Source organism: Homo sapiens, chromosome 19 (assembly GCF_000001405.40).
Source record: "Homo sapiens chromosome 19, GRCh38.p14 Primary Assembly".
Taxonomy (NCBI): Eukaryota; Metazoa; Chordata; class Mammalia; order Primates; family Hominidae; genus Homo; species Homo sapiens.
In genome coordinates this window covers 21076297-21093436 of record NC_000019.10, presented here as the reverse complement: position 1 = coordinate 21093436, position 17140 = coordinate 21076297, and the positions used below count along the sequence as shown (strand labels likewise).

The 17140-nt window shown below is 40.8% G+C and overlaps 1 protein-coding gene across 4 annotated transcripts in view, besides 1 other annotated feature; it reads right to left on the bottom strand.

Moving 5' to 3' along the window:
* ZNF714 (zinc finger protein 714) overlaps window positions 1-11234 on the bottom strand; it is a 42892-nt gene extending 31658 nt beyond the window's left edge. For all 4 annotated transcript variants that reach the window (NR_117087.2, NR_117086.2, NR_117088.2 and 1 more), the window contains exons 1-2: window positions 11089-11234; window positions 9368-9459 (exon numbers count right to left, since the gene is read on the bottom strand). The gene's annotated coding sequence lies outside the window, so the exon portion shown is untranslated. The remainder of the gene's footprint in view (window positions 1-9367; window positions 9460-11088) is intronic.
* Window positions 10746-10895: an enhancer, noted in NCBI's record as "active region_14381". NCBI's record gives its function as "activates an Ori minimal core promoter by ATAC-STARR-seq in GM12878 lymphoblastoid cells {active_cell/tissue: GM12878}" and the evidence as "EXISTENCE:reporter gene assay evidence [ECO:0000049][PMID:35858748]".
* Window positions 11235-17140: the final 5906 nt, after the last annotated feature.

Here is a 17140-nt window from a genome sequence, read left to right as displayed (position 1 = left end):
AACATGGTGAAACCCCATCTCTACTAAAAATATAAAATTAGCCATGAGTGGTGGCGCATGCCTGTAATCCCAGCTACTCGGGAGGCTGAGGCAAGAAAATTGCTTGAACCCAGGAGGCGGAGGTTGTGGTGAGCTGAGGTGGCGCCATCACACTCCAGCCTGGGCAACAAGAGTGAAAACTCCATCTCAAAAAATAAATAAATTAAACAAAAACAAGATTAAGTTATTTGCAAGGCCAGGTATGGTGGCTCACGCCTGTAATCCCAGCACTTTGGGAGGCCGAGGCAGGTGGATCACAAGGTCAGGAGATTGAGATCATCCTGGCTAACACTAAAAATTCTCTACTAAAAATACAAAAAATTAGCTAGGCGTGGTGGCAGACACCTGTAGTCCCAGCTACTCGGGAGGCTGAGGCAGGAGAATGGCATGAACCCGGGAGGCGGAGCTTGCAGTGAGCCGAGATCGCACCACTGCACTCCAGCCTGGCTGACAGAGCGAGACTCTGTCTCAAAAAAAAAAAAAAAAAAAAAGTTTAAGTTATTTGCAGCAACATAGACGACACTGGAGACCATTATCCTTAGGAACCTAAAACAGAAACAGAAAACCAAATGCATGTTCTCATTGATAAGAGCTAAATAATAAGAACACATGGACACAAAGAGGAGAACGACAGACACTGAGGCCTAGTTGAGAATAGACAATGAAAGAACAAAAGAAACAGAAAATGTACCTGTTTGGTGTTATGCTTAGTACCTCAGTGACAAAATAATCTACACCAAAACCCCATGACACAATTTTACGTATATAACAAAGCTGCACATGGATCCCTGAACCAAAAAGAAAAGTTGAAAGAAAAAAAAAATCCATGCGTGGGGAAGAATGCAATGTAAGTGGACGGAGTTTTTGTTTTACAGATAGTGGCCCAGGTGGGGCTGGACTCTGATTTATTTCTGTGCCCATGCAGTTAAATGAGATTAGGAACAGGAGGCCCAGAACTCTAGGTTGCTGGGGAAAATAGTTTGCTGCTGCAGATTCACTGTCTGGGGGTTGGGATATGCCAGGAGACTTGACACTTTTGTGGCTTTTTGTCAAGAAACACTAAAATCAACAATGCTGTGGTGAAATTCCTGAGGGTGGTGCCTAGTCCTGGGAGTGGTGTGCACATGTCAATGTCTAGTGGGCATGTTTGGGAGTGGGTGGGAATCCTGTGGTGGCAGCTGTGGGAAAAGGGGGTCTGTCATCAGAGCTCCTTTCCTCTAAGTTTTCATCCTCTCTCACCCTGGGAGGAGGCCTGGGATCCCAGGACAATGGGCAGTGTGAAAGCCTGTGTACAGGAGAGCAGAGCCTCCCATTTCCAGATACCAAGAGTTTTATTCCAGGACAGGCCTCTGTGATATCTTTCTTCTGGCACCAAATCTGTAGAGTTAGCTTAATACCAAGCAATTCTCCAACAGCAACTCAATGTCTAACATTTGAATTCTGACACCACCCAGAGTCAGCACAGACCCTGATTCAGGGCTTAGTCTCACAACATTGCCCTCATTGTAGATGCCAGTCACAAACCGCATAGGCCTATCTATGCTTCTGAGCTACTGTTTAAAAACTGGGGACTCCTACAAACTTCCTCAAGTTCAATAATTAGATCAAGCTACTCACAGAACTCAGCAAAACACTGTAGTTATGTTTACTAGTTTATTATAAAAAGTACAACCCAGGAAAAGTCAAATGGAAGAAATGTACATGACAAAGAAAAGAGGTGGGGAATGATGAATCACAAACATAATCTGGGTAAATAGCTGTGATTAATAAAATCCTTCATCCTTTGTGTTCTCTAGAAATAGTTTATGGAAAGAAACACCCTTCCCATTATGACTTAGATGGTGCTCTCTTTTCTTATTTATCACATAGCCAGACACAGATTCTGTCAGAGGCGTATTGAACCAGAGCAACTCCATTTGGAATAGAGCCTGAGTAAAAATAAGGCTGAGACCCACTGGGCTGCATTCCAAGATGGTTAGGCATTCTAACTCACAAGGTGAGATAGAAGGTCAGCATAAGATACAGGTCACAAAGACCTGGCTGATAACACAGTTTGCAGTATTAGAAGCTGGATAAAACCCACCAAAATTAACATGGTGATGAGAGTGACCTATGGTCATCCTCTCTGCTATACTCCCACCAGTGCTATGATAGTTTATAAATGCCATGGCAACATCTGGAAGTTATCTTATAGCAGTTTAAGAAGGAGAGGCATAGGCCAGATGTGGTGGCTCATGCCTGTAATCTCAGCACTTCGGGAGGCTGAGGTGGGTGGATCACGAGGTCAACAGATTGAGACCATCCTGGCCAACATGGTGAAACCCCGTCCTACTAAAAACACAAAAATTAGCTGGGCATGGTGGCATGTGCATGTAGTCCCAGCTACTTCGGTGGCTGAGGCAGGAGAATTGCTTGAACCCGGGAGGCGGAGGTTGCAGTGAGCTGAGATCATGCCACTGCACTCCAGCCTGGCAAAACAGCGCGACCCTGTCTCAAAAAAAAAAAAAAAAAAAAAAAAAAAAAAAGGAGAGGCATAAATATTCCACCCCTTGTTTAGCATATAATCAAGAAATAACCATAAAAATGTGCAACCATCAGCCCTCAGGACTGCTCTGCCTATGGAGTAGTCACTCTTTTATTGCTTTACTTTCTTAATTAACTTGCTTTCACTTTATGGACTTGCCCTGAAGTCTTTCTTGAGCGAGATCCAAGAACCCTCTCTTGGGGTCTGGAACAGAACTTCTTTCCAGTAACATCTTTCTGGCAACCACAAAGGGACTGTACTCTGACCCAAAGGAAAATCATCTGTGTGCACCAACTGGCTGACTTTGGGTGAGTGGGGTGCATATACCTGGGTAAACCTCTCAGTAAAATCCATCTCAGCAAGAACTGGTTTGACACTACGGGATATTCATTGCTATTCTCTTTGGATTAATCTGTCTTGCACTCTTTGCTGATGGCTATGGGTGACAGAATTAGGCATCTACAGGACCATGGGACATAGGGATATTTTTCTTCTCCAAAAAGGAAAACTTAAGTGCTAATGGGACTGCTGGAAAAAATCTTTCCTACCAAGAAGCAGCCACCTCAACTTTTTATTATCACTGCAATGGGTAGGTCTTTCTCTGGCCCCCTGAGCTCTTTGCCTTCCCCAACCTGCCACAGGCAATGCTTTTTCTCTCTTTTCCCTTTCTTATCTTTTCTATTCCCAGAGTAACCATCTTGCCCAGAGGCCTCAAGTTGAAACTCCTGATCAGAGGTTGAATTAATGATGACAGGGCCCAACTGGGGCCAAGTTTAAGAGTTGCATTTGATATTGGTTGCTAAGGAGAGTAGCTAATGTCTGTGTTGTCACACATATTTTGCTATGGCCAGAATAGAAAAAGATAATTTTCCTTTGTATTGTGGCTTGGCCCCCAGGGCTGTGGTGCAGCCAGCCACGTCACTAGGGCAACCCAGGGAAAGGAAGCCCAGAAGCCTGGCATGCTGGCAAAAGGGTACAAATTTCTTACCAGAATTCTAGCCTCTCTATGTAAACTGATGGAATGAATGGTAAAAAAAATTACTGTTTATCTCCTATGTAAAGTTCTAATTAATTTGGAGATGCATTTGTGAGGTTAGTCTTAAGCTGTAACAAATCTGTTGTACTCTGTGCTATAAATTTGTCTTTCTGTATGGTTCTGTCATTAAGAGGGGTTCCTTAGGATAGAATGCAGGCCTAGGACCCTTTAAGGCTGCTGTTCAGGATGGCCCAGCAAAGTGCTCAGTCATGTCCTTGGACGCTTGACCTTGTGACCACATGATAGTACTTTCTCTTGTCTCCACCATCATTAATGGTGGCCCAGGTTCAGGGTTCCATTCTCAGCTTAGGGAATGAGTACTTTCTTGTTTGGTATTTGGGTGAGCTTTACCATTTGTTGATTCTCTTCCCCTCCAGAAACCACCTTGAATTTTCCTTTTTCAGAACACCTGTGAAGTTACTTTTGGTAAAATTCAAAAACCAGAGATATTGGCCGTTTGACCTGACTAAAGTCTGGTAATAAGAAATTTAAAAGGACTTTTTAAAAGAGCACTATGGTTAAAAGTCAGCTTAATTAAAAGCAGATATTCAAGCTCTAGCAGCCTGGGACTCCTTGGGAAAAACAGAAGAGACACTATAGACCCTGTTTTGGGAAACACCTCTTTTTCCTTATGAAACCCCAGGAATTGGAAGTGAATAGATCCCTCTCAAAATCTAAGTTTCTCTTCTGTTTTGCATTGCATTATCTGATGTTTTTTACTTTTGGGGGTATCAGGAATTACTTCACATTATAAAAGAACTTTGGCATGTAATAACTGGGTGAGAAATATACTTTTGGAATGGCTAAGGGCAATTATGGGGAAAAACTCAGCTCTTCACATTTGGATCAGAGAAACATACTCTGGACCACTTAGGAAGTATGGAGGTGTCCCCATGTCCCACTGAGAAATAAGACTTCCCTTGGGATGAACTGATTCTCTCCTTTTTAGATACAAGATCTGATGTAAAAATGGGAGCCTTAATTTAGGGGGAATCCATTTTGTTGTCCAGCTGTTTACTTATTAAGCCATAGAAACTACATGCTTTCCTGGTCGTGGGCTAGTAATCCAATTAAGAAACTGACAAAGAAAAACCTTACAACTACTGAATCTTCTGTCTGTGTGTGTGATATAAAAGAACCCTGATTAATTGGTTTAAAAATAATAAGAGCTTAAATCAAATATTTTGTCAGAAAAGTAAAAAGTGCAATGCCTTTTAGTTCATGTGACAAGTAATCTTTTTGAAATAAAAACAGTTTTAAAGATCATTGGGAAAATAAAAATGTCTTCAAAATATAAACCATTTGATCTAAATTATATAGGTCAGATATTAGATTTGCCAAATACTTTAAGGTCATAAATTGGTTCTTTGACTTTTAAAAATTGTTCAATTTACCTATCTTGAAGCCAGTAGATTCCAAATAAGGCCTTGGGACATATGGAATTAGCCATGCCCCCTAAATATACAAAGGTTATAAAGAAAAGAGATTTTATATAAGAAAAGATGTTGTATAGTAAATTATTATCCTAAAATAAAATGACTGGTTATTTAAAAAGATGGATGTTTAGGACAAATCAGAGAGTCCAAACATATTATAGATGGTCTGTATAAGTCATGAAATAATTCACTAAAAGAAATTTATGCAAGAAATGTTGTACAATTTAAAGGTTACTAGGCCTCTTAAAGACTTCTCAAAATGCCACTATCACTGTTCACTGTACAACTTGCCTGCTTTACGGCTAGGTAAGGCCTGGGACACATCAAGTTAGCCACACCCCCTAACTATTAATACACTGGAGTCAGACCTTATATAAACTTGTGTCTGTGTCCTGGACTCCACGCCTAGTACGTAATTAAAATCCTTTACTTACCAAGGGTTTCATCAAAAGTAAAAGTTGCTAAGAGTTAACATTGTAACATGTAACTTTGACTACTAAAAAACAGTTTTACATGCAAGGTATGCAGAGAAAGTGAAATGTGTTTTTGATAAAAGATTATAAGAAGACATGGAAATGTGGACTTTTTTGCCTGGATTAAAAGGTTAAAGGATTGTTTTAAATTAGAATAAAACTGAAGGTTTAAACAAATTGTGAAAGATTTGCTAAAATTTAATTGCAAAAGAGTTTCTGTGTGTGAACATATAAAGTTAAATGGGTATTATTCAGTTTTTCTATAAATTGAACATTGAGATAAAAACAACAGGTTTCTCTTAAAGCACTGATCTACTCTTAAACAACAAGGACTTTGTAAAGAGTTATAAAAGGTTTATAAGAATATTACCTTACGGTCAAATACTAAAATTGGATAGGTTTGTCTATAAAGATTAAGAATTGGGTTTGACATTAATAATACACAAATATAATAGTAAAATTTGGCTCATTTAGTATAAAAAATCACATAGAAAACATGTCAAATGTGAAATCATGTTTGACTATTTTTGGACTGTTTTTGTAAATATGTTATTGGTATGTGTTCCAAAATTATGGGAAACTCCTGTAATTCTAATGACTAAGTGTATATCATTAATAATCACAATTGTTACATAAAATTATTTTATGCCACAGAGCTAACCAAATTTCCTTGTCGATCATGTTTTTTTTTTTTTTTTTTTTTTTTGCTGAGACTGCCCTAAGACTTTCCCATGCAGACAATCAAGTTGTGTTGATCCTCTTCAAAAGATGATTTATAGTTAACTTAAGACTTTGACAGATGTTCTCAAATGCAAGTTTGTTGTAACTTTAGAAATTGTGACATTAGAATACAGAAAAAACTTTCAGTATTCATGGAGAACTGAAATGTTCATGACTATCAAACAGAATAGGAATTAACTGAATGGACTGAACTAATAGAAGACTGAAGTTATATTTTTTGACTTTGCATAAAATGTCACTGATCCTTTGTTTTGTTTTTCAGGGTCAAGAAGACTCTGACTAGTTAGGCAAAAATATCATCACCCCTGTTCAGCATGAAGTAGTTACAGAAAATGAATCTTCATCCCTCTACAACTCTTAGGATTAAGTGTGCCCATGTTAAAAAGAAGGGGGAGATGTCAGAGGCATATGGAACCAGAGAAAATCTATTTTGAATAGGGGCTGGATAAAATAGGGCTGAGACTGACTGGGCTGCATTCCTGGATGGTTAGGCATTCTAAGTAACAGGACAGGATAGAAGGTCAGCAAAAGATACAAGTTTTAAAGACCTTGCGGATAAAACAGGTTGCAGTAAAGAAGTCAAATAAAACCCACCAAAACCAAGATGTGACGAGAGTGACCTCTGGTCACCCTCACTGCTACACTCTTACCAGTGTCGTAACAGTTTACAAATGCCATGGAAACATCAGAAGTTACTGTATATGGTCTAAAATTGGGGGGCATAAATAATCCACCCCTTGTTTAGCATATAATCAAGAAATAAGCATAAAAATGTGCAACCAGCAGCCCTCGGTGCTGCCCTGCCTATGGAGTAAGCCATTATTTTATTCCTTTACTTTCTTAATAAACTTCCTTTTACTTTACTGTGTGGACTCACCCTGAATATTTTCTTGAGCGAAATCAAGAACCCTCTTGTGGGGCTTGAATTGGGACCTTGTTCTAGTAAGAACTCTGCACATTTTCTTCTTTTTCCCATTAAAAGATTCAGCTGAATTTGTCTTCAGTGGTCTAAATAAAATTTTTCACAGGCCCCAGAACTTTAAACTATTCTCAGTCTGAGTCAACATAAAATCTCATTTTATGTCTCTTCTAAGAACATGCTGATTTCATGGTAAAACATTCTCTGATTTAAAATCTGACTTTTCACCCTTCATTTGCCATTGCTCTCCTGCCTTCTTTCTAATCTTGTTTGCTGCTCCCTAGGAAAGAAAGCCCTTGTTGGCCTAAACTATGCAATCCTTAAAATTTTTATAGTTGGTACTTTTTCCTGTTGCAATACTCCTTTGGAATTCTTTTTTTTTTTTTTACATAAACCTAACTTTGTTTGATATTCCAAAGCCTAGAAACTGCCTCAAAACAATAACAACTTTATCATCAGTAAGACCCTCTCAGTCCCCTTTCATCTTAACCTTAACTGCATTTGCCTGTGGGTCCTCAGCTTTCCAGGGCTCTGTCAGCAGAAAGGCTTCTTCCATGGCTGGGGTGAGCAGACTGGACATCTGCAGGGGAGCATCCCCCATAAATAAACTAGCTGGTCCTTTAATAACCTCCTTTTGTAGGCTCAATATTAGCCTTAGCTCTGAGACACTGGGCTCAAGCTTTAGTTTCCATGTTAGAGTTACTCACTTGGTTTTTGAAACTACGTGTTTGAAAAATCCAGCAAAATTACTCAAACACAGTGTTCATATAAGGGAAGGAAATTTTAAGGTACTTACATTTTATACCTCAATAAAAAAAGCAAAAGTATCTACTCCTTTATGAAAATATATCTATTATTGTATTGTTTTCATTAAAAATCATGTAGTAAACAATTAGTCATATGGGAACACTTCTAGGTGGTACCAAGTTTCATCTCATAAAATGTAGCATGAAACTCAGAAATCAAGATAACAGGATGTGAACACAGATATTCACTGTCAAAAATCCTATCCTGCAGATAGAGCAACTGATGTTTTCATGAATCTATGTTTACTCACCAATTATCTACCACATTTTCTTATGGACATGTATTCATTTTCTACAGCCAAAATAGAATAGAGATTTTCCCTATTCTTTTCCTCGGTAGCTAGCATTCTAAAAGCTGAGCCTTGAAATTCTGTTTGAATTCACCTAGCCATAAAAAACAAACACACCTGAGAAACCTTTTAAACTCACTCTGGGAAAGAAAAAGGTAAATGAGAATTTTTAACAAATGGAATATATAATTAAGCATTAATTTCTTTTTCTAAAACCCATCTCTTTTATGCCCTTTGTAAATATTTTCCTGCTGGCCGGGCGTGGTGGCTCACACCTGTTATCCCAGCACTTTGGGAGGCCAAGGAGGGCAGATCATCTGAGGTCAGGAGTTTGAGACCAGCCTGGCCAGCTGAGGCAGGAAAATCACTTGAACCCAGGAGGTGGAGGTTGCAGTGAGCCGAGATCATACCACTGCACTCCAGCCTGGGCAACAAGAGTGAAACTGTCTCAAAAAAAAAAAAAAAAAAAATTTCCTACCTTTCAAGCCCTACTAATATAATGCAATTTACAGCTAAAAAACTGAGGTCAAAATAAGTGAACAAATCTCTTCAAGGTGACAAATCCAGAAGTGGCAATGATGGTTAAATAACAGATGTGTGTGACTCATGTTTCAAGTCAGGCTATTCAGTCACTTGAGAGATTCTTCCACCCACTCCTACTCACTTATGTGCTCAAGAAGCACCCATTCAGGAGACACTGCAGTATTTCTCGGTGGCTGCTCCAGAGGCATTTTACTTTGCAAGCTCTTACACCATCTCAGTTAACCTTGCTGATGGCTATGGGTGACAGAATTAGGCATCTACAAGACCATAGGACATGGGGATCTTTTTCTTCTCCAAAAGGGAAAACTTAAGTGCTAATGGAACTGCTGGAAAAAATCCTGACTGCTGGAGTCAGGTTTTTTGTGTTTTTTGTTTGTTTGCTTGATTTTTTTTTTCTTTTTTGGTCTTTTGGGATACTATTTTTTCTGTCACAATTTTTTTTTCTTTTTAACACTATTTTTTCTTTCACTACATTTATTTCATTATATTTCTACCCCTTAGACAATCCAGGAGGCAGATGTTATTTCTGTGTTTTCCCCTCAGTACCAGCATCTGATTACCTTTTCAAAGTAAGAGTACACTAGAAGCTTCCTCTCTGCCCCAGGGATCCACTTGCTCCCTTGAGAGGATACACTCCAGACCTCAGGTCGCCCTATGGAAGAAAATAAACCAGAAGCTGATATTCACTAGGCACTTTAGCTGACATAACCATGGTGGATATCTTGGTTGATCCCCAGACAGTACTGAAACCCACGACCAGAAAAAAACTAAAGGGTGGCTGAGGACACATCACCTCATAAAGGTTTCAAAGGAATACCTTGACCCAAAAACATTCTGACAAGATCTTTGTACCTAGAGAAGATACAAGGAGAAGAGGCACAGAGAAATTTTACAATACAGTGTCAGGGGATTATTCTTTGCTTTCTTCTCATGGGAAAGTTACAAACAGGTAACAAACCTTTTAAAAAGCGTCATTTAAAGCTTTGTCAAAAAATAATTAATTAAAATATGGTATACAAAAGTACACTAAAAGACAAACAGGTGATAACGTGAATTAGGGAGGAAAAGCTGGCATTAGGGAATGCCAGGAGGAACTGGAAATTTAATATCTTACTGCAAGCCAGAGTGAGGCTGGAGATATGGGGGACGGGAGGTTAGATTTAAGACAGTGCTTGGGACACAGTTGAAAAATGCACCAGAAAATCAGTTCCCCATGGAGTGTGAAAATAATTAAGCGGCGGGAAATTAGACTGAGGTGTCTCTAGTCCCTGGATTCCTACTTTTAAAAAAATCTGGCTGGGCGCGGTGGCTCACGCCTGTAATCCCAGCACTTTGGGGAGGCCGTGGAGGGCAGATCACCTGAGGTCGGGAGTTCGAGACCAGCCTGACCAACATGCAGAAACCCGTCTCTACTAAAACCACAAAATTAGACGGGCGTGGTGGCGCATGCCTGTAATCCCAGCTACCTGGGAGGCTGAAGCATTGGATCGCTTGAACCCGGGAGGCAGAGGTTACGGTGAGACAAGATCGCCCCATTGCACTCCAGCCTGGGCAACAAGAGCGAAACTCCATCTTAAAAAAAAAAAATCTAACTGAGGTGCATTTTTAGTAAATTACTACATTGAGAGAAACAAAATTCATCCTTAACCAACTATAAACTGCCAATTAACATCTAATTACATAACCAGGAAATTTTCACCTTTATTTTACAAATTAAGAAACTATGTATCTGAACCTAACCAATTACTGAATTTGGTTTTCTTCATCATGCTGTTTATAAAAGTCTTTACTTCAAGCCCCGCCCATAAACCATAAATTACAAACCACAGCTGGGTGCTCCACAATTTTTGAATCACGCTTTGATTAAATGCTTTAGTGTTTTAACGGTGACTCCCATACATTTTCAACAGAAGAGGAACTGGAACCCCACGGACCCATTCATAAACCCGCACCCCGAGTCAGGATTCTACCCCTGGGACCCTCCAGTGGTCCCTGCACAATCCGGGAGAGACGCGCCGCTGAGGGTCCAGAGCTGCCCTGAGAGGACTCCAGGTCAGGGCCCAGTCACTGCGCAGGGAAAAGACAGGACGCCCGGGATCCCGCAGTCAGCGCAGCCGCCATCTTATGGCTGAAGGGGACTGAGGCCGAGCTGAGCAAGGAGAACTCCGGGCGCAGATTGTAGAGTTGACTGCGGGGAGGCCTAAGTCCCACCACAGCCACTTCCCACCGCTTACAACCCGCCCCTTCCCCTCTCTCGGGATGTCGGACCCGGCACTCTCACCATTTCTAGGCTTCCGGGGTACCTGGCGTCTTAGCTGTGGATCTCTCAATACCTGCAGGTCACAGGGCCACAGAGGCTGGGCCTCTGCGAGCAGAGGACACAGGGCAGTGAAGGCGAGACCTGCAGCTCCAGCTGCAGCGAGAGACAAAGGCCCCGCCACATCCCCGAAGCCGTCCTGTCCGCTCCAGCTGCAGGCCTGATTGGACGGTTCCCAACCCAGCGTCGCTGATTGGATAACTTTTAAAACCCCACCTTCTCGTGCCCTGAGTGACAGAAGATGTGATCAGTTGCTGGGCTGAGTGAAGAAAGGGTGACAGCCTAGGCTGCAGCCTTCTCAGGCAGGGCTTCCTCCCAGAGCTGAGCCAGGCCCACCCCAGAGGGAATTTGCCTTTAAACTTGTGTGTAAAGTCATATGCATTTATAAATAATATATGGCTCTTCACAAAGGAAAAAATATAATTTTATAATAACAATTATTTTAAAATTTCAGATTTTATGACCTTCCTGGCTTCTTTCTGGTCTTTGAGCAGGCAGGCTGAGATTTTAGAAAGGAGGTAATCCTCTGAAATAAAATGTGAGCCATATGTGAATTTTAAGTTTTCTAGTAGCCAAACTTGAAAAAGAAACAAGAACAGGTTGAATTGATTGTAACAATTTAATTAACCCAATATATCAAAAAAATTTTCATTTTAATGTGTGAGAAATATGTAATTATTAATAAAGTATATAAATATTTGGAACTAAATCTTTGAAACTAACTCTGTATTTTACCTTTCTAGCATCGCACTTCAGACCAGGCGCCACACATGGCCAATAACTGCCACATTGAAGTGCAGCTCTGATGTCAGCGGTGTGAAGGGCCCAAGCAAACCTTTTCTGCCAGAGGTGAAGGAAGAGCCTCTCCCTACCAACATCTCTCTTCCGTTCCGGGGGTGGAACAGATAGTGGCCAAAGAAAGAGGAGACGGCAGCAGGAATAAAATAATTACAAGTAAAGCACTGCTGGATGAGATCACAGGCGCGCGCCACCATGCTCGGCTAATTTTTTGTATTTTTAGTAGACACGGGGTTTCACCATGTTGGCCAGGCTGGTCCTGAACTCCTGACCTCAGGTGATCTGCCCGCTTTGGCCTCCCAAAGTGTTGGGATTACAGGCGTGAGCCACCGCACCCAGCCTCAAAATGTTTTTTCTTTCTTTTTTTTTAATTTTAAAAAATGATGGGAACATGTCAAAGGGAGCCAGCCTGAAAGAACTCCCAATGGTCCATCCTGGAACAATGTTAGCATCCAAATGAATAATTAGAGCACTGACCTATAAAATAAATCAAGTCAAATAAATAAATACCCATGCATTTACACTGATACACAAAAAACTTTAAATAAATAAAAAAGAAAAAAGGATAGGGAAATTTTTTTTTACAGAATTCCAAATACTAATCAACATAGATAAAATGCTAAAGAAACCATCACAAAACCACCAGTTATTATTGTATCCAAGGTTAACTGAGGAGTGTAAAAATTGTAAATAACACTTAAAAAATAAGCATTGTATTTGCATAGCACCAAAGTATCTGACTAAATTGTACCCTTCAGTTTTAAAGCAACCTATCACTATTAAAAGCAACAATTATGACTCTTTGTTACTGGATTTATAATATGTAGATGTAAAATTGTAAAAGCACCACAAAAGATCAACGAATAAAATAGAATCGCCCAGGCACGGTGGCTCACGCCTGCAATCCCAGCACTTTGGGAGTCCGAGGTGGGTGGATCAAGAGGTCAGGAGTCCGAGACCATCCTGGCTAACAAGGTGAAACCCTGTCTCTACCAAAAATACAAAAACTTACCTGGGTGTGATGCCGCACGCCTGTATTCCCAGCTACTCGGGGGGCCGAGGCAGGAGAATCGTTTGAACCCGGGAGGCGGAGGTTACAGTGAGCCGAGATCGCGCCACTGCACTCCAGCCTGGCGACAGAGGGAGACTCTGTCTCAAAAAAAAAAAAAAAAAAAAAAAGAGCTGCCTGGGCAACATAATAAGACCCCATCTCTACAAAAAAAAAAAAAAAAAAAAAAAATTAATTAGCCACTGTAGTGGTGTGTACGTGAAGTCCCATTTACCAAGGAGGCTGAGAGCTAAGAATTTTGAGGTTTGATTGAGCTGCACTCTGGCCAAGATGACAGAGCTGTCTACAAATACATACACACATGTGTAAAATATAACACTTTTTTAAAAAGCTTGCAAGTTCTTTTATGATCCCGTGTCTGTGCATTACTGTAATAATATGGATTAGAAGCAGAATAACTGTATCCAATATGGAGTTTGAGAGAAAACAGAAATATATCATCTGTACTTCAGGTGTCCTGATAAGGATCAGCGGAGGGTTCTGCCCTCTGACTTTATCTCTACTAAATGCATGAGAGGCAGAGTTTTTTTGTTTTGTTTTTTGTTTGTTTGTTTGTTTGTTTTGAGACGGAGTCTCGCTCTCTCACCCACGCTGGAGTGCAGTGGCACAATCTCAGCTCACTGCAAGCTCCGCCTCCCGGGTTCACGCCATTCTCCTGCCTGAGCCTCCGGAGTAGCTGGGACTACAGGCGCCCGCCACAACGCCCGGCTACTTTTTTGTCTTTTTAGTAGAGACGGGGTTTCACCATGTTGGCCAGGCTGGTCTCTAACTGCTGACCTCGTTATCCGCCTGCTTTGGCGTCCCAAAATGTTGGGATTACAGGCGTGAGCCACCGCACTCGGCGAGGCAGAGTTTTTAACATAATTTTTTTTTTTTTTTTTTTTTTTTTGAGACGGAGTCTCGCTCTGTCACCCAGGCTGGAGTGCAGTGGCTCGATCTCGGCTCACTGCAACCTCCGCCTCCCAGGTTCAAGCGATTCTCCTGCTTCAGCCTCCAAAGTAGCTGGAACTATGGGCACGCGCCACCACGCCCAGCTAATTTTTTTTTGTATTTTTAGTAGAGACGGGGTTTCACAATGTTGGCCAGGATGGTCTCGATCTCTTGACCTCGTGATCTGCCTGCCTCGGCCTCCCAAAGTGCTGGGATTACAGGCGTGAGCCACTGCGCCCGGCCAACATAAATGATTTTAACACAAGCAATATTCTGTAATATTAACGGACATAGAGGTTTTGTACTGATTATGATTTTTGAAATTTTTATGCCCTGGTAGACCAGATAGATCATCTCTGTCAACATCATTTTGTTAATAGCATTTTCAACCTATTCTGCTTCCATCCTCTCTTTTATTTTAAAAAGACATAGATGCTAGAAAACACCATTTCTACTGAAGGCAGAAAAAGCAAACACAAATTTCAGTATTTACAAGTCACATTTATGAATATGTTTCCTAATTAGGGAGTTAAAACTTCAACTTTCAAAGAAAATGGTATAGGCAGCTGGGCACAGTGGCTCACGCCTGTAATCCCAACACTTTGGGAGGCTGAGGCGGGTGGATCACCTGAGGTCAGGAGTTCAAGACTAGCCTGACCAACATGGAGAAACCCCGTCTACTAAAAATACAAAATTAGCCGCACGTGGTGGCGCATTCCTGTAATCCCAGCTACTCAGGAGGCCGAGGCAAGAGAATCGCTTGAACCTGGGAGGTGGAGGTTGTGGTGAGCCGAGATCGCGCCACTGCACTCCAGCCTGGGCAACAAGAGCAAAAACTTCATCTCAAAAAAAAAAAAAAAAAAAAATGGTAAGGGGCAAACATAAAGAACATTTTTATTATAAAAAATTATCCGCCGGGGGCGGTGGCTCACGCCTGTAATCCCAGCACTTTGGGAGGCCGAGGCGGGTAGATCACGAGGTCAGGAGATCGAGACCATCCTGGCTAACACTAAATTATAAATTATAAAACAAGCCTCTACTAAAAATACAAAAAATTAGCCGGGCGCCGTGGCAGGCGCCTGTAGTCCCAGCTACTCGGGAGGCTGAGGCAGGAGAATGGCGTGAACCCAGGAGGCGGAGCTTGCAGTGAGCTGAGATGGAGCCACTTCACTCTAGCCGGGGTGACAGAGCGAAACTCTGTCTCAAAAAAAAAAAAAAAAAAAAATTAAAAAAACTATCCAGTCTCTATATTTTGCAAATTATTTTTCTCTCATCACTAAGCAATTTCACCTAAACTAATATACAACCAATTTTATAAGTTTAGCTTTTTTAAATAAAATAAAATAATAAAACCGAATTAATTTAAGACAACATGAAAAATTATAATACATATTACAAGCCCCCATTCAGGTAAAGTATTAACAATGAAGATTTGATAAATGGCAAATGTCACATTTTCAGATAGTTTTGTGATAACCAGAAAAAAATGTATCTATTAGCAATTTTCATAACGAAATAAGAAAAAATGACACTTGAAATATTATAAAGTATTTAAATTATCTCATGTATTAAGATATCATAAATTCAATAAATTATAAAATATTATAAATATACTAGAGGTTCTCCAAACTGAAAAATAAGAAGCAAAATAATTTATCATTAAAAATTGGCTCTTTTTTTGTTTTAAAAATAAAGTTTAAAGCTGATCTTATGCAGAACACAACTGGACCCCTACCTATATTAATACAATTAAAATTTGACACGAGATTTGGGTGGGGATACAGAGTCAAACGATATCATTCTGCCCCTGGGCCCTCCCAAACCTCATGCCCTTCTCAGATTTCAAAACACAATCATCCCTTCACATCAGTCCCCCAAATTCTTAACCAATTTCAGTATTAACTCAAAAGTCCAGTTTAAAGTCTTGTCTGAGACAAGGCAAGCCTCTTCCACCTATGAGTCTGTAAAATCAAAAACAAGTTAGTTACTTTCAAGATACAATGCATGTGCAGGCATTGGGTAAATATTCCTCTTCCAAAAGGGAGAATTTGCCAAAGCAAAAGGGCTCTGGGTCTATCAAACTCCAAAACCCAGCAGGGCAGTCATTAAATCTTAAAGTTCCAAAATAATCTCCTTTGACTTGGCGTCTCACATCTAGGCCACTTTGATGCAAGGGGTGAGCTCCCAAGGTCTTAGGCAGCTCCACCCCTGTGGCTCTGCAGAGTACAGCCCCTGCAGCTGCTTTCACAAGCTGGCATTGAGTGCCTATGGCTTTTCCATCCAACTCACATAAACTTACTTAAACTTAATCACTTTCTAAAATTGCTGTTCTCTGCCAGGCACGGTGGCTCACACCTGTAATCCCAGCACTTTGGGAGGCTGAGGCAGGCAGATCACGAGGTCAGGAGATCAAGACCATCCTGGCCAACATGGTGAAACCCCATCTCTACTAAAATACAAAAAAAAAAAAAAGAATCACATTGCAGGTTAGGGCTTACCCTATACATTTTGATAAAAACTAAATTCAGTCTAAATCAAGGCAAAAGAACCATATAGAGGTAATATTTTTATATCTCATTGGAATTAAGTTAATATAAACATGAAGCAGATTATAAAAAGATCTATGTTATAAGGCCTAGAGAAAATAAGAAAGTAGCTGGGTGCAGTGGCTCATGCCTGTAATCCCACCACTTTGGAAGGCCAAGGTGGGCAGATCATGAGGTCAGGAGTTCAAGACCAGCCTGGCCAACATGGTGAAACCCCCTCTCTATTAAAAATAAAAAAAATTAGCTGGGCGTGGTGGCAGGTGCCTGTATTCTCAGCTACTCAGGAGGCTGAGACAGAAGAATCATTTGAACCCGGGAGACAGAGGTTTCAGTGAGCCAAGATCAAGCCACTGCACTCCAGTCTGGGCGACAGGGCAAGACTCCGTCTCAAAAAAAAAAAAAAAAAAAAAGAAAGTAACTGCAAAAACATAAACAATCACTATAGAAATTTAAATATTATATGGGAAGTATCTAATATAAAAGAAAGCAGTAAAGGAAGAATAAAAATATGCTGGGCATGGTGGCTTACACCTATAATCCCAGCACTTTGGGAGGCTGAGGTGGGTGGATCACCTGAGGTCAGGAGTTCGAGACCAGCCTGGCCAACATGGTGAAACCCCGTCCCTACTAAAAATACAAAAATTAGCCAGCATGCTGGTGGGTGCCTGTAATC